The 18,362-nt window shown below is 37.5% G+C and overlaps 1 long non-coding RNA gene across 2 annotated transcripts in view; it reads right to left on the bottom strand.

The window, feature by feature from the left end:
• Window positions 1-694: 694 nt before the first annotated feature.
• Window positions 695-18,362, bottom strand: part of LOC105374666 (uncharacterized) — a 41,940-nt gene continuing 24,272 nt past the window's right edge. Inside the window, exons 2-3 of one of the 2 annotated variants that reach the window (XR_925809.3) lie at window positions 17,450-17,540; window positions 695-789 (exon numbers count right to left, since the gene is read on the bottom strand). This is a non-coding gene — a long non-coding RNA (uncharacterized LOC105374666). Of the gene's footprint in view, window positions 790-14,674; window positions 14,858-17,449; window positions 17,541-18,362 lie in introns of those variants that run through there. The other variant, XR_001742615.2, reaches the window with a different exon arrangement.

Below are 18,362 nucleotides of genomic sequence, written 5' to 3'. Positions count from 1 at the left end.
GTTCTCTGGAGTTTTATTTGAGCTCTTTATTATCCAACTGTAGCTGAATAAAACTCTGATATAAATCTGAGTTCGTCCAGAGGCAAGGAAAGAACTGTCTATCCCACGGGACAGGTTTAAAAGGTGAGTGGCAGAAAAAGCAAAGTGTGTTTTCTCTTTGTACCTTAACATGCATACAATAGAAAGGTTAGAACAGCAAGGCATCCAGTTCGAACTGAAGCTGCCATTTGGACCTAACTGGGCTAGTCAGAGAAACTGATGGGAAGAGCCAGCAGTATGTCCTGGCAGTGATGTGTTGTATTCTATTTGGTTGGTTTGGATTTTGATGGGAGCTAACACCAGAGAAGACAAGAATAAAAACCAGAACAGCTCCACTGTCTGTTGCACTTGCCTCTGCCTGAGGCCACTGGACAGCACATCAGGTAGAAGCCTGAGTTGTTCTCCTGAAGGATTGCCTAAGATGGAAGGTATTTGCAGCACAGCTGAGGACACAGCACAAGCTGTGACCCCCTGAGGACAAGGGGAGTGGCTTTCCTTTATGTAAGGACTGGAGTGAGTTTGGCTCAGTGAAGACTCCAGGAAGTCATCACACAATTTAAACCTCAGACCTTATCCTTTGCGGAGCATAAGGACATGAGGCCTTGTCCTAGACTCAGGAGCACCCTGGCAGGTCCTGACAGCAATGGTCACCTACCGTGAGATGTCACCCAAAGGTGGCCAATGGTGGATGATCAGAGAGAAGGTGAACCCAACCAGAATATGCTGGACTAGTTCTCAAATTTGTAGGCCCTAAAAAGAGGAATATTTATTATAAAATGTAATAAATATGAATATTTTTATTCAAACATGGATAATTAGAATTTAAAATTTTTTAAAACTTACTGTAGATATATTACTTCTTACTCTAATTTCTTTCACCACCTGATTATTTAAAATTTAGAAGAATTGTATTCTATTAAACCCCTAAGTGCTAAATAATTTCCATACTAACAAATTTGCCCTATAATTTTTGAAACTGTTAATTATGTCTGCCTATATCTTTCTTTGTGATAACTTTTAGTTGGAACTTCATAGTAACTTTATATTTGGTTATTGAGATATCAGTCTCCTTTCATTTGAATTGTTGGCATCATTTTGTTCATTAGCTAAGTAGTAATAGGTAAAAAATTTGAAAATTCCGCATGTTATATGTTAGGATTTAGTATATGATTTGGTTGGGATTAACTACAAATTCTAAGCATGCCTAAAGTTGTTGTTTTTTTTTTTTTTTTTTTTTTTTAACTTTAGGTTCTGGAGTACATGTGCACAACGTGCAGGTTTGTTACATAGATACACATGTGCCATGTTGGTTTGCTACACCCATCAACTTGTTATTTACATTAGGTATTTCTCCTATTGCTATCCCTCCCCCAGCCCCCCACCCCCCAACAGGCCCCGTGTGTGATGTTTCCCTCCCTGTGTCCATGTGTTCTCATTGTTCAACTCCCACTTATGAGTGAGAACATGCAGTGTTTGCTTTTCTCTTCTTGTGTTACTTTACAGAGAATGATGGTTTACAGTTTCATCCATGTCCCTGCAAAGGACATGAACTCATCCTTTTTTGTGGCTGCATAGTATTCCATGGTGTATATGTGCCACATTTCTTTATCCAGTCTATCATTGATGGGCACTTGGGTTGGTTCCAAGACTTTGCTATTGTGTACAATGCTACAATAAACATATTTGTGCATGTGAATTTATTAAATACTAAAAGACTGTACATAGTGATAATGGGTTCTAATGATTCACTTTGGCTATATAAAATATTTTAATTTATTAAAAATAGCATAAAGATACAACATGAGGTAACATAAAACTACTTTCCAAATATAATGAAATAATTATCTGCACCTTTACAATTCTCTATTTGCAAAAATTTGTAGAGATGTTTCCTAGAGCAGTATCTATTTTGTGTCTAAATATGGCAGAAGAGATATGGAAGGCATCTACAGTTCTTCACGTAACATTGGGCTTGATGGCGTCTGTCAATGTCCACTTCTTTTCAACCTGCCACTTTGCCTCACATGGAACTTGTAGCTACTATACACCACCTCCATGTATCTTCAGTATATTTGTGCAATGACTTTTACATGGCACAGGTATGTCTCCTTGCATGGAACTGACCTAGCTGTGAATTTTTGTAATTTTGATAAAAATAAAAATATAATTCCTTTCTTTTGAAGTTCTGTTATTGCAGATATAGGTTTTTTAAACCTTTATGCTTTGTTTTCTTTCATGAATGCAAGTGTACTGCAGAAATGCATGTCCATCAAGTATACCAAATGTCAGGCTCTTGACAATGTTGTATCAAAGATGCTAGAAGAGTCCAAGGTGAATGCTTAAATAAATAGATGTTTCATAAGCACTAACTTAATAGTGTCCTATTAAAACAATGGAAAACAAAATGAGACTGAACTTTCTATTCATATCTCATTTCAGTGCACATGATAAATTGATGAAAACATTGATTTTCAGTGTGGAAGAAGAGAGAATAGGTGTTGATTAGTTCATCAAAGGGCTCTTTCCACAATCTTCATTTTGCTCAAGTAGTTCAGTTTCTTGGGATTTTCAAAATAGGTTTTTACTGACACTAATGAAAGGGGGAAAAAAGTTTTACTTTCTTTTAAAACACATTTGGAAATAATGCTAACTCAGCTATGCTCAACTACAAACCTGTCAATCAAACTAAGAGAAAAAGGAAGGATCACCCACTCGACTGCTAATTGCAGAATTACGCTAATTTATAAAATAACAAGAAATGTCTTCAACTGCCACTCTTGCTTCTATTCCATGGTGCCCTTCCTTCAGGGTACAAGAATCTGCTTCCCTTTATATTCTACATGCTCTCGAAATATAATTTTTTTCCTTCCATAGCTTGTAACTTTGCAAATAAATTAATACTCCATAGACCATTGCTTTCCTATATGACAAGTTTTAAAGATATGCTCAAGTGTCATTTTAACAAATAATTACTGAGAGTGTGCTATATGTCTGGCACTATTGGAGGCAGGCATATAGCATACTCTTAGTAATTATTTGTTAAAATAATATTCTGATATTTCTAGCCAGGAAGTTTTCTTTGGACTACACCTGTGACTGGAGTGGTCCTGGGGAGAGCCAGATGTCAGTCACATCTGCCATTAGTGATGTGGTAAGAATTAGCTGACATTAATAGAATCAGAACAGATATATATCACTCACTCTCATTTACTAACATGGTAGAAAATTCAGGAGAGAAATAATGTTTGATCATTTTTCACTTTTAGCTAGAAAGCCCTTGTTAGTCATTTAAAATTCATTTATTTCTCTGATAAACATTGATCAAGAAATAACTAATGAAGAAGCAGCAGCTGTCTTCACTTTTTCTCTGTTACTGGAGGTAGTAAATGTGAACATAGCAATTAAAGGACCCCTCATCAGTATTACCTAAAATCTGTAATGAATGATATCACTTTAACATGCTAAAATTTTTTAATAGCACAATTGTGAGGTCTTTCTTTTTTTCTTTTACTTTTTTTTTTTTTTTTTTTGAGACAGAGTCTCACTGTCACCCAAGCTGGAATGCAATGGTACGGTCTCGGCTCACTACAACCTCCACCTCCTGGGTTCAAGCAATTCTCCCGCCTCAGCCTCCCAAGTAGCTGGGACTACAGGCACATGACACCACGACCGGCTAATTTTTGTATTTTTAGTAGAGACAGCATTTCACCATATTGGTCAGGCTGGTCTAGAACTCCTGACCTCGTGATCCACCCACCTCGGCCTCCCAAAGTGCCGGGATTACAGGCATGAGCCACCGCACCCAGCCGAGGTCTTTCATATTAATGATTTTCCAGTCGAAATATTTAACCAATTAAATGTTTCATGTTAATAATTTTTGAGTCAAAAACTTAACCAATTAAATTTTCAGCATTCTCCTGAAAACTCTTACATCCTCCACTTTATACAAGGAAGGAATAAAGTGCACAATGCCCAGGTTCTCTTCCTGCTCTCAGATTCTGTGATTTCTTTACAGCAAAATTCATCCTTATTTATTCAAAATGTATTAAAACATATATTACAGGCAAAGTTTTAATCAATGCATCATATAAAATTTTTAGCAAGACAACATGTATTTAAAAAGAAAAAACTCCATTTTATTCTCAAAAATAAATTGTAAAGAATAAACATTTCCTCTAAAAAATTTTGAAGCAAAATTGGATCAGTTCACATCCATCTCATTTGGGGATAATCTACATAAGCAAGAAGGTCGTGAACATTGAAAATTTATAGTCTTTTAAGACAAATTACAATTTTCTCAAACTTGTGCCTATTTTTCACAGAGAAGGCATAGAGAAAGATCTTGAAATAAGTGTTAGAATGTTAGTCCTACAGAAAAGAAATATAGGCTCTGCCAACGTGGGGGCCAAGACTCCAATACTGTCTTCCCACCAAAAAAAATCACATAATTTTCTTAGGGGACACTGATTCATGTATGCATGGTTTTGCCCAAAAATATTCAATGCATACCTAATATCAATCTCATGGGGGCTATTTGTTCAACGCTGGTCACATTGGGGCTCTGCTCATTGTAATCATTCAAGGACACAGGACGTTGCAAACCCTGCCCACCCATAATGCTGACCTCTCAACAAGAAGCTTTCAGTTTCCTGAGGCAGGGTTAAGACCATGAGAATCACACTACTCTTAAACATTTGTTTCTCTAAAAGTGAGTCTCTGTTCACATTTTGTTGCTAAAGGAAGGAGTCTGACCATGCCTAACTTTAAACGGAAGAGGCATATAATCCTCTAAGGATCCAGGAAGGAAAAGAGAATGAGAAATATCAGTAAGTGATAGAAATGTCTGTCATGACACTCAAATCTATCTAGACCCCAAAGACATTTCGACATTAGGTTATGTTCAGTCTAGCATTTTATGATGTGCAGTCTAATTTTAAAGGAATATATTAAATACTTCTTGATACTTTCCAAAGCTTTTGGATTCCTACTGGAAATGCAATAATACCAGAATTAATTAATTAATTAATAAGTAATAAAAAAATTCATTGCCAACTGGGCATGTAACTACTACAGGGAGATGAGATTTTCTCCAACAAGGACTAGCAAGACCAACATGAGGTCAAGTTGTGCTAATCAAGGTTGGCCACCTGCCTGGGCTGAGTAAATGAAACATATGGAGTGAGGTGAGAGGTGAAATCCTGTTTATTCCAAAGTAACTCCCCCACTGCCCAGTCATGGCACCTTCCTGAAACTCCTTCAGGGCCTGAAATTCCTACAGGGCCTGAAATTCCCACCCCTAACTAGCAGATTTGTTCCTTTCATCTCAACTTTAAAAAACTCAGGGCATGGCCTTGAAAAGAACAGAGTTAACATTGTCATGAATTATTGGTGAATTGCATTTTTGATTAATGATGAGGTTTCTTAAAAGAAATGCAAGCTTTGACTATACTAACTGGCATGTATGTCAGAATTAGGCAAACCATAAGCCCGCCTCTCAGTGCTGAACAAGCCACATCTAGAATAATGTACTCTGGGAGCTCTGTTTCCAGAAAGTTGTCAATATACTGAAGCTTATTGAAAGATGAATAACCCAAAAGATGGAACAGTGGGAACACATACTATAAAAAATATTAGAAAAGAGTCTTGAGTGTCACCCTGCAGCAATTATATACCCAGGTGACAATGAAATGTTTATTTCCTATTTGTTCATTAATTAATTATTTCTGGTATTGTTTAATTTCCAGTAGGTGTTCAAAACTTTGGAAAGTATCAAAGTATCTTCTATGCTCAAAATGCCTCGCACTATCTTCTTCCAAGTTATGTGGATATAGCTCTTCTCTTGGTAAAAGCCACTCTCCCATCTCACCCAGCATCCATCCTTCCCTTAGCAATTACTTCAATGGGAGAAAATTCAGAGCATCAGAGAACAAAACAATCCATCACAGGTATTTGCTTGGGTTATGAATGTAGAACCTGAGTGCCACTTTCTTCCAAGATGAAATCTGGTGCAGATTTCAACAAACAACAGGATCTCTGAGTCCAATCTTAATAACCATACACTCCTTCAATAGTGTCCAGGTGATGTGCCAGCATTAATTCCTTGTTTTTGGTGCAACTTTGATCTTAATAATTCTATAAAGAAAATATTATGGAGAAATTGAAATGATACTGTGGCTGATCATGGCATCCTCTTATGCAAGATCCTGTTTTTTCACTAAGTACCTATTTGATAGAAAATAGGGAAAAATGCCATGTAAGAATTGTAAAATCAGTTCCTTTATAAATAAAAAGAAAGGCTTACAACTAAAGTGGCTAGCAAAAGAGGACAATAAAAATAAATGGTAATACAGAAACTTAGTGGAATATCATCCCTACACTTAAAGACTATGAATCAATATTATATAAAGTTAAGATAAATGGCACACTATAAACTGCATGCACATTAAAATGATGTTTTCATAGGAACAATGATTGGAAGGAAATTCAGATTCAAACAATTACATTAAAATGCTTGATGTTTAGATTAGATTAGATTAGATTAGATCAGATTAGATTAGATTAGATGACCTAATCTAGCTCTATCACCAAACCTCTGCTGAGTTTCATTCATTTAAAAAAAGCCATGTGCTAGATTTAAAGAATACAAAGAAAAAGCAGGAAACAGTTACTTTCTTCAGAGCACTTAAAGATCTTTGTAAGTTTTTTTGTTTGTTGTTCGTTTGTTTGTTTGTTTTTGAGACAGAGTCTCGCTCTGTCGCCCAGGCTGGAGTGCAGTGGTGCTATCTCGGCTCACTGCAAGCTCCGCCTCCCGGGTTCACGCCATTGTCCTGCCTCAGCCTCCCGAGTAGCTGGGACTACAGGCGCCCGCCACCACGCCCGGCTAATTTTTCATATTTTTCACCGTGTTAGCCAGGATGGTCTCCATCTCTGGACCTTGTGATCCGCCCGCCTCGGCCTCCCAAAGTGCTGGGATTACAGGCGTGAGCCACTGCGCCCGGCCCAGATCTTTGTAAGTTTTTTAAAAAGATGAATAAACAGGCACTTATAATGCAATTTGGTAAGAACAGTGATAGAAACATAAGTTCCCAGTGAGCTGAGGAGCACATACAGACAGCCCCTTAAACTAGTCTGTGGTGAGATGGTTAGGGAAAAGGTACAGAAAGGATTTCACAGAACTCAAGAGATCTCATTAAAGTCTTAAAAAACAAATAAAAACTATCCAGGACAAAATATGGCTGTAGGGAGTGAATGACACTGGAAGTGGATAGGAAGCCAAAGCAAAGACAGACGGGGACAATTGCAGGTGTCCAGCACAGCTGGAGCACAGAATCCAGAGGTCAGAAGAGATGGCAGGCATGAGGGGGAGAAGTCGGCAGGGACCAAATCCTCAAAGAGTTCCCATTGCTTCTCATTCTTCTAGGAAACGAGGGCTTTTTCCAAGGCAGAAATACGTTCTAGAAAGGCCATGCTGATGTACTATGGGAAATGGGTTAGGCACTAGCAATAATTCAGGAGAAAATCATAAAAACCTGAACGAAGATGGTAGCAGTGAGGATGGGGAGAAAGAGCTTGAGACAGCAACACACTGAGTAAATGAGACTTGATAAGAGACCAAATTTCAGGGTAAGAGAAAGAAATAAATCCAAAGGGATCCTGATGTTGATGGCTCAGTCATCTTGATTCCTCAAAATGGGGAAGTTCGGGAAGAAAAGCAAGATAGAGGTGGAGGTGAATTCTGTTTGCATTTGTTATAGTTTAGTGACTGTGAGAGATGCTGCATAGATGGTTTCAGTAGGGAAAGATCAAAGCTAGAAAGGTAAACTTGAGAGTCATCAAAGTAAAGAAGTGTAAAGTCATAGGAAGGGATATGATCTCCCAAGAGTTTCAGTGTGGTAAGAAGAACATGGACTGGCAGGGCGCGGTGGCTCACGCCTGTAATCCCAGCATTTTGGGAGGCCGAGGTGGGCGGATCACGAGGTCAGGAGATCGACACCACCCTGGCTAACACGGTGAAACCCAGTCTCTACTAAAAATACAAAACATTATCCGGGCGTGGTGGCGGGCGCCTGTAGTCCCAGCTACTCGGAAGGTTGAGGCAGGAGAATGGCGTGAACCTGGGAGGCGGAGCTTGCAGTGAGCCAAGATCGCGCCACTGCCCTCCAGCCTGGGCTACAGAGCAAGACTCCGTCTCAAAAAAAAAAAAAAAAAACAAAACAAAAAAAAGAAGAACATGGACACATGGAAACACTCATGAAGAATTCTGCCATTTAAAGAGAGAGTAGAGGAAGAAATGTCCACAAGAGACTGATAAGGAACAGCCAGAAGAGCAGAAGGAGACACTGGAGAAAGAAAGGATCTGGAAATCAAACATTCTCAACACGCTTGGTTCGAAAATAGGCTCAAATGCAGCAGAGAAGATACTGCAAAACGTCCACCAGTCAGGTTACAAAGGAGAAATGGAAACAAACGAGAGAAGTTCAACGGAGTGGTGGACAGGGCAAGTGTTGAGTACGTGCAGAGAATAAGAGGACGAGGGAAATGGAAGTCATAAGGTAGACGGTGATAAAATTTCTCAGTAACTTGGATGTGAAGAAGACAACGGTAGACAAAGCAGCAAGGGAAATGGATTAAAGAAACAGTAAGAGAGCAGAATCATGGATGATTTGTCAGCTAGATGGGAAACTGCTTAATGTCTTGCAACCATTCCCTTTTCCCCAAACAATGATGCGATCTTAGTTCACATTTCCTCATTTGGGATCAGGGTTACTCTAAGGGGTTCCCATCCCCCTCTAATCCATTAAACGGGCTGGAGGGGAAGGTCTGTTTGTGTTTCTTTCTCTGATTTTTTTTTCCAAGATTAGAGAATGTTGAGAAGGCAAGGTGCTGAGAGAAAACTTCAAAAACTAGTAAAAAATGGCCGGGCACGGTGGCTCACGCCTGTAATCCCAGCACTTTGGGAGGCCGAGGCGGGCGGATCACTTGAGGTCGGGAGTTCAAGAACAGTCTGACCAATATGAAGAAACCCCGTCTCTACTAAAAATACAAAAATTAGCCGGGAGTGTTGGCGCATGCCTGTAATCCCAGCTACTTGGGAGGCTGAGGCAGGAGAATCACTTGAACCTGGGAGGCGGAGGTTGTGGTGAGCCGAGATCGCGCCATTGCACCCCAGCCTGGGCAACAAGAGTGAAACTCCGTCTCAAAAAAAAAAAAAAAAAAAAAAAAAAAAACTAGTAAAAAATAAAAAGCCTGAACATTCTAGAAAAGGGGACACAAAGGTGGAAGTGTGTAGCAAAGGCCAACACTGAGCTTCAGAGGAGGAAAGTTTCCCTCTGCGGAGCCAGACCAAAGAAGGAAAGGAAGGGCGCAGATAAAGGTATGTTTACAGTCAAGTAAGGAAAAGCAAAACTCAAAAAAATGATTTACATTGTTTTAATCCTTTGCTCAATCACCAAGAATTTAGTCATTATCACAAATGAGGCTATATTGTAATAAACATTTATTTAAGCCCTGCAATAAAAAAAAAACCTGACTGGTGGGTACAAGAAAACCCAAACAAAGCATTACCCGGCATGAAGACAACAGTGGTGCCAAGAACTACAGGACAGAGCATCTCTAGCTAGATTATCAGGGCTACTTTGACAGGAGATATTTAACTAATTTGTAAAAAGTGATTAAGAAAACATTTTAGATGTAGCGAATGGCACTAATTAATATTCAGTAAATAATATAGCTTATTATGCCCAAAGTTGACACTCAGCGATTCCTTGGCCCCAGGGTGAGTTGAAGGGAAGTGAATGTGAGTGGGCTAAGGAAGAACAGATGATGGAACTATCAACTTGAGGGAGAGGTGTGCAGGATGGGCACAGGGCTGGGGAGAATAGAGAGAATGCCTCTCAGAGCCCCTCACTTCATCACCAATAACCATCATCTCTGATGACACACAGGGGTGTTCCAATTCCATCCATGCAGCACCCTCATTCTCCACCCTTTATTCTCTTTGTCCAGCCTGCATTCTCTTTGTTGTCAGTAATTTTATACTCAAAACATAAACATTTTAATTTCCCATAGAAAATTTCCAAAAATTCTATGTACTGGATCTTAATTAATTCTAGAATATAGGTATCAAACAGAAAACATTCTCTCACCAAAATGTGATATAGCTAGAAATGTCAAAAAAAAAAGAAAAATGAAATACCGCTACCAATTAGAAATGTTTAAATTCACTATAAATAACACTTAGCTCAAAGAAGAATTCAAATCCAAAGCCGTGGCATACTTTTAAGAGATAATGAAAAACAACAGATTTCAGAACTTAAGAGACACAGTTAAAGCACTGTTCAGAAGAAAATCTATAGCTTTAATTATTTTTATTATTAACCCAAGAACAATGAAAATAAATTAAATATTTAACTCAAACAATTACAAAAGACATCAAAATAAAATTTAAAAGAGATGAAAGTAAACTACATTTTAGTCAGAAATAAATGAATTATGAAACAAGGAAAATGAAAAGTGAAACTAATTATTAAATTCAAGAGCTGGTTCTTATAAAATATAAAACACATAAACTACTAAAGTACTCTAATAAAGAAAAAAGAAAGAACATAAATACCAAAATTTAGAATAATAAGGTAAAAATAAGATACAGACAAAATTTTTGAATGTTGAATTTATTGTTCAACCCTATGCAAATAAATTTAAAAACTTGAATGAAATGGAAGATTTTCTGAAGAAAAGTTTACATTACCTAAACTCCAACAAGATTTTTTAATGTAAAACACACCAATTGACATCTTTTTTTAAATGGTTGACAAATTTTCCAAGATATATGCCCTCCCATGATGGTATCTGACCCAAAGAATTTACAGAAAAATTTTAACAAGTCATTAAGGAACAGGCATTTCCAATACTATTTAAACTGTTCTACACTACAAAGAAAAAAGAAAAAGTTCCTAAGTATTTTTGTAAAGCTATTACCAATGAAAATATAATACACAAAAGCCAAGACAACCTTATGGGTCAATCTCACTTGTAAGTATCAAGGGAAAGTTCTTAATAAAATTTTAACAAATAGAATTGAGAGTATATACTAAGAATAATAAAAAGCTACCAGGCATGGTGGTGGGTACCTGTGGTCCCAGCTACACGGGAGGCTGAGAGAAGAGAATTACTTGAGTCCAGGTGTTTGAGACTCTCCTGGGCAACATAGCAAGACCTTGTCCCTTAGTAGTAGTAATAATAATAATAATAATAGTAATAATATTAAGAAGAAATACTCCTTGATGACAAATGAGATTCATTTTAAGAATGCAAGAATGGTTCGACATTAATACTAAACATAATATCTATGAAGCAAAGGAGGCAACATATCATAAGATTATGTCCTAGTTTCTAAAGGAACATTTTATAATATTCAACATAATATTGTGCAACAATTACCCCTGACGTTTTGAAACTCCCAATAAATTATAAGTAGATGACTGTTTCTGAAATTTATGTATCTTGAGTCAAATTGCAGCATCATGATTAATTGTTAAATACTAGTAGCATCTTATTTTATTAGAGTCAGGAATAAGATAAAATTTTACCATTATCCATAATATTGACTAATATTATTTCTGAAAATGCTAACTACAGAATACAGAAATAAAAGTTGTAAAAATTAAAAAGAAAAAGGCAAAATTTTATTGTTTGCCAATATTATAATTGAATAGCATGAACTAACAAACTGTTAGAAGAACTAAAAAGACCCAGTTGGCTTATTACAAAATTACCAATAAAATCAATGTATTTCCTGTATAAGACAACAATCATCAGAAAAATAAGTTTTAAAACCTCATTTACAATAGGAGCATTTTAAAAAAGAATAAAATACCTAAAACTTAATAAACCAGGCCAGGCACACTGGCTCACACCTGTAATCCCAACACTTTGGGAGGCTGAGGTGGGAGGATTGCTTGAGCCCAGGAGTTCAAGACCAGCCTGGGCAACATTGTGGAGCCCTGTCTCTACAAAAAACAAAATTAAAAAATTTAGCCAGACATGGTGGTAGGTGCCTGGAGTCCTAGCTACTCAGGAGGCTGACATGCAAGGATGGTCTGAGCCCAGGAGGTTGAGGCTACAGTGACCAGTGATGGTGTCACTGCACTCTGGCCTGGATGACAAGAGTGAGAACCTGTTTCAAATAAAACAAAACAAAAACCCACACATACACAGAAGAAAAAAATAAATCTAATAAGGCTCATTGAAGAGTTCTATAAAAAAATATTAAAACTCTACTGAGATACATAAAGACATCAAAAAGTAAAGATAAATACTGAGCACTCATACAGAACCACTAAATGTTTTAAATGGCTCAATTATTCCAAATTTTATTGATATATTTAATATTCCAAGCACAATGCAAGAGTTTATTTAAGTTGGCAAGCTCATTCTAAACTTTATATTAGAAAACAAAAGGCAAGAATACTCAGGAAATTTACAATAAAGAGTAATAAGGAGAAACCAGACCTGCCATGTAGTAAATAGTCATCAAAACCTTTCAGTAGCAGAGGTCAAATAAACAGATCAAGGTACAGAGTAGAGAATTTAAAAATATATCCACATAAATATATGAATCCATTATGCTAAAGGTGGCACTTTAAGTCTTGGAGGAAAAAATAGGTTGTTCAATAAATGCTGTTACAATAAATGACATGGGTGGGAAAAAGTCATGTGTGATCCCCATCCCACTCTATCAAAATCTTACCTATTTTGATAGAATTTATTTTAATTCTAGATGCTTCAAAAATTTATTTGTTGAAGAAAAGTAAAAATGAAATCATGGAGAGGTTTACTTCTATGAAGACAGAATAAACATACTTTTCTTTCTTCCTCCACTAAGTAGAACAAAAATACCTGGGCATTAGCACAATTTGCAAGTGCAAAAATGTGGAACCAGCTCAAATGCCCATCAATCAATGAGTGGATAAAGAAACTGTGGTAGATAGAGAGATGATAGATAGATAGATAGATGATAGATAGATAGATAGATAGATAGATAGATAGATAGATAGATAGATAGATGATAGATAGATAAATAGATAGATGATAGATAGATAGATGATAGATGATAGATAGAGATATAGAGATGGAATACTACTCAGCCATAAGAAGGAATGAATTAATGGCATTCACAGCAACCTGAATGGTATTGGAGACTATTATTCTAAGCAAAGTAACTCAGGAATGGAAAACCAAACATCATATGTTCTCACTTATAAGTGGGAGCTAAGCTATGAGGATGCGAAGGCATAAGAATGATACAATGGACTTTGGGGACTCAGGGGAAAAGAGTGGGAAGCGGGTGAGGGATAAAAGACTGCAAATCAGGTTCAGGGTATACTGCTCTGGTGATGGGTGTACCAAAATCTCACAAATCACCACTAAAGAACTTACTTATATCAACAAATACCAGCTGTTTACCCAAAAAATAAAACCATGGAAATGAAAAAATTTTTAGAAATAAAATACATGGGCATTATCCATCAAACAAACATAGAAAATGTTGAAATGTGGAGAAGGCAAATGGGCCAGAGACCTTGGGATGTGAGGTACCTCCTTAGAGGGGAGTTCCCTGAATTTCTATTTTGCCTCATAGATCCCAGCCTTGAGCTGAGGAAAGCAAAGCTGACACCTGAAAATCCCATGAATTCAAACCCAAAAAGCCCCAACAGAAGCCCAATCCCTCCAGCCAAAGACCAAGATGGGGCAGCCCATCAAGACAGGAACTTTCAGACAGGAAGCACTCTACGCCAGCCACACACCATAGGATAAAGGTCTGTGGCCCCACTCCCACCCACCGCAACAATGACCACATGGGACACTGACTTCCGCCTTCTCCAGGCTGCAGCGAGGCACCCACCGACCTCAGGTTCAGTCAGGCATCTGGGAAGACTGGCCTTCCACACACAGCTGGCAATAGCAAGCTGCCACTCCCCATCCCTACCAGGGTGATGTGCGAGGAGGCCCAGTGGAGGGTCTGGGCTTTCAGCACTACCAGTGGTAATGAAGCCACCTCCCCACTCTGTGGTATCAGTGGAGGTTATGTGAGCATGAGTTACTTCTACCCCTCCCAGCCAAAGAGGTATCAGTGGAGAGCTGCTGGGGAACTAGAATCCAACCATCATCCAGCAGTGACAAAGAGCCCCAGCAGCAATGTGACAGCCACGATGCAACTAGCTGAGAGAGCAATTTACAAACATATTTACAACAAATGAAAAATAGTCTAAACAAATATAAAATATGTAAAGAAGAAGAACCAAACGGGAATCTTAGAACAAAAATATATAATACTGTAGCTGAAATAAAAATCTCAGTGGATGGGCTCCATGGCAGAATAAAGGGGACAGAGGAAAGAGATAATGAACTGAGAGATAAAGCAATTTGCTATTTGCTACAATGAGTAAATCTGAAAAGGAGAAAATCTAATCTATTTTCCAAATAGATCTAAATTTATATTATCTGAGTCCTTGAAAAAAAATAACTCAAAGTTATTCAAAGTTATAGTGGCTGAAACCTTTCCAGTTTGGCAAAAGACATAAATATATAGATTCAAGAAGCTGAGGGAACCACAAATAGGAGAAACCCAAAGAAATCCACACCAAGATAAATCATTTTAATTCTGAAAATTAAAGACAAAGGGAGAGGCAGAGCAGAGGTCAGGCTGCACCATCTGCGGTCCAGCTGCGTTTTTCTGCTATTGATCTTTTGTTCTCCTTCATCCTTGGGCTCATAGAAAGATGGAATCCACATTTCTGGGTCTCCCAAATGCATCAATCTTAAGAGAAATAAATAGAACTTCTCTCTCAATGGTTTTAGAATTGAGAACACTTATTTCCCAAAATCTACAAAGAAACCTTCTGTTGTATTTTATTGGGCCAAATTTGGTTCTATGCCTGTTTCTAAAGCAATCCCTGGGCTAAGAGAGTGCCTTATACTGATTGGCTTAGCCTGGGTTTTCTAAAGCAATCTTTATGGCAAAGGAGAGGAACTATTTGATTAAATCAAAAATTAGGTCCCATCCTGGTGTGTGGTGAAATAAATCCCTCCCAGTGTACCACAAATTATAGAGTTCTCTAGCAATTAATATGGATCAAGCACTGTCCATGTGATAGGAGATGAGGGCTAAATTAATAACGGGCATCTTGAATTTACCTTCTTTTTCAGGCAACATGTATACATCCATTGGATTTTCTGTAATTAAAGTCCCCAGCCTCCAAATTATAATATTTCTGAACTGAGAATTGCAAGCAAGGCTGGAAGGGTGGCAGTGGGCTCATTGGTAATAAAGCCAGTGTTCCTCCTTTGGCTTATCTCAAGAATATAACATTTTTCCTATCAAGCAGACTTTGCTATGCAGACCACCTACAAGTTTATAAATCAAGTCTCCCAAATATCTGAAGACAACCTATACAAAAGGAAGCGTCCATCAGCTTGATGTGCTACTAAGCATGAGGAGGCATGGCCACAAGGCCTTTGTCTGACATGTACTTGCCTTTCTCACACTGTTAGTTTCTCACTACACAGTAAATAAGATCCTCTACATTAAAAACTATGTGTCACTCCTCACCTCCCTTCCTTCTATATACAAAAAAAAAGAAGCTGAAACTTAAAGTATGACTTATCTAATGATATATAATTGGTAAATTTTTGATTCATAACCAGTTAGTTGAACTCTGCATTCGGGACTGTCTTCATCATACATCTAAGATTTTTTTATTAGCTGGTGACATCATTCACCAAGACAATTTAAGTTCAATTTTTATAGAAATTGTTATAAACAGGTCATAAAAAAACATTAAAATACCACTCCTCTATTTTAATTCTTTCTTAAAAACAAATAATTAAAAATAGATGTGCCTGCTGCAGGATGCCATGGTCACTTGCAGATGTGTGGCAGAAAAATCATTTCTGATTCTTATTTAACCTGGTGGTTCATGAATTAACCATCAGAGGGCCCCCAAAAATGAACTTCCAAATCAATGTAATTAACATGCTCAGCTAATTTATGTATAGGAAGGTTTATGACTTCTTCCTTCAAATTTTTAGAGTATAAGGAAATCCTTGGGAATTGTTTTCTCTAAAATTAATGTGACATGTGACTTGGAGGAATTTGGACAGCTTCAAGGTCTTCTAAGAATAATAAATATTTCTGCCACAAGGAAACTCTTTGAATTCATCAGTTAATGTCATGATCTCAGCAGCCTGGCCCCAAATAGGGGAACCACTCTAGTAATTCTTCTGCTATCAAGTCACTGTGTTATTTGAATATCTTTTTATTAATGCACTTAATATTTTAAGCAGCAAATTGTAGACACTGTCTACCAAAGTGACACATTAGGGACATGGGATCCCTGAGTTGCTTTTGCTGTTTGCTAGTGCCCCAGCTGGGAGACTCTTTGCTGAGTTGCCCATCTAAGCAAAGAGTCTCCTGGCTGGGGCACTAGCAAAGGGCAAAAGAAAACTTTCAGAACATTTTGCTTATGAGCCAGTATTTCAACTCATGCCAGCAAAGATCACGTAATAAAAATATGTAGGTATTAGTTAAATGCAATTCAAAATTACTTTATGAATTTTACACACTGTGCAGCTAAATAACACCACTGAGGGGTGTGTTATAAAAATGTAGCATATAGACACTAATAAAAATCTAAATTTCTTCTTTGGAAATAAAAATGCATCTAGATCTATCTTAACAAACCCTGAGGACTGCAACCTTGTGGTGAGCTGCAGAACTCTTTGTCAAAATATTTAACCTGGATTCAGGGTGACAAACTATCTGTATTTCCCACAGCCACTCCTAATGGCTCTAGAAGGAAATATGGCTTCCATAGCAGCCACGCTGCTGTAATTGGTAAGTAGGAAGGCTCATAAATTCAGTAATTATGACCTGTTATGGAAAAATGCAGCTGGGTTCTGACTGGTTTGAGTGTCCCTGGGGGGTTCATCAGTCAACAATCATTTATGGAGCATTTACTATGCTCAGGCAACGTTCTCAGCACTGGGGATATAGAAGTAAAGAAGGTAGTGAGTGTACCTATCCTTACAAAATTCACATTCTCATAGGTGCGGGGAAATGGGCAGCTAGTATACATGGAAACTAATAGATCTGATCATTTCACCAGACACTAACAAGAGCTATACTTAAAGTAAGATAATTTTATATAGACAGAGAGTGGTCAAGGAGATCCTCTCTGAGAAGTGACATCTGAGGTGAACCCATTTGCTAAGGTGGGGTTAATGGATGGGGTTAATGGGGTTAATTTGTTAATGGAGAAAGGGCTGATTAACATCCCAAGGCAGAGTCCAAAGCCATGTCCCAAAACTAGAATGAACTTCCATTTAAAAAAAAAATTGAATCTCATATTACCCTCTTCTGTATGTGAAGTGCTTTCTTACATAGGGCTTTAGCTGGTCCACACAGCAACCTTGAGACATGCCTATTATCATTCTTGTTTTGCCTGTGAGAGAATGGAAGCAAAATAGAGATGTTTAGCAACTTTCTCAGGGTCACATATAAATACCTAGCACAGCACTAATTTAACCTGGGTCTTATCTCAAATCCTATGCAACACATAACCTTTCACAGATGCCAAGACATTCGTGTGTTAAGGAAAAGCTGAAATATTTGTAGGACTTTCTTGAGTCATTATTTTTATTATCCAGGAAAATAAACATGTCATTTAACATGAAAAAAAGAGAGGGAAAAAAAGAGGCATTTTGGTTCTTTCCAATACCAGGTATTACAGCCAAGGGCCTAGGCTGAGGGGAATTACCTTCATTATAAAGAGCAGCTGAGACAGCTGATATTACATTGCATTTGCCTATGTTAAAAGATAGTTCAGAATCTGTCTATGGAAGCAAAAGGGATAATAATTAAGAAGAGTGGGGAAGAAATTTGGAAGCTCAGATGCTTAAATTCCAGATGACGAGAGAGACATCATAGACCCAAAGAAAATGGCAACCAATTGGCTTATTTTACATTCATAATCATGAACAGAGGTATCTTTAGGTGGTAATCAACACTTATACTAAAAGTGGCAAAATTACTGAGCACTGACATTTTGTTTATTTTTGTCTTTTCTGTTTACTTTCAAAACCACCTAGATGGAAATGAAAAGCAGGAAAAAAATGAGGGGGAAGAGGAAAAAAAAATCAAAGACATAGAAAACTGTCATTATTACAGCAAGGCACTTAATTAGTACTGAGCAGTGTATTCCATAGCATATTTTTGGTTCTATGCAAAAATCTTTTTTTCTAATTTGCATTTTAGTCATAAATCT

Source organism: Homo sapiens, chromosome 5 (assembly GCF_000001405.40).
Source record: "Homo sapiens chromosome 5, GRCh38.p14 Primary Assembly".
Classification (NCBI taxonomy): Eukaryota; Metazoa; Chordata; class Mammalia; order Primates; family Hominidae; genus Homo; species Homo sapiens.
Note: the sequence above shows the minus strand (reverse complement) of the source record. Positions and strands in the feature narration are given on the sequence as shown.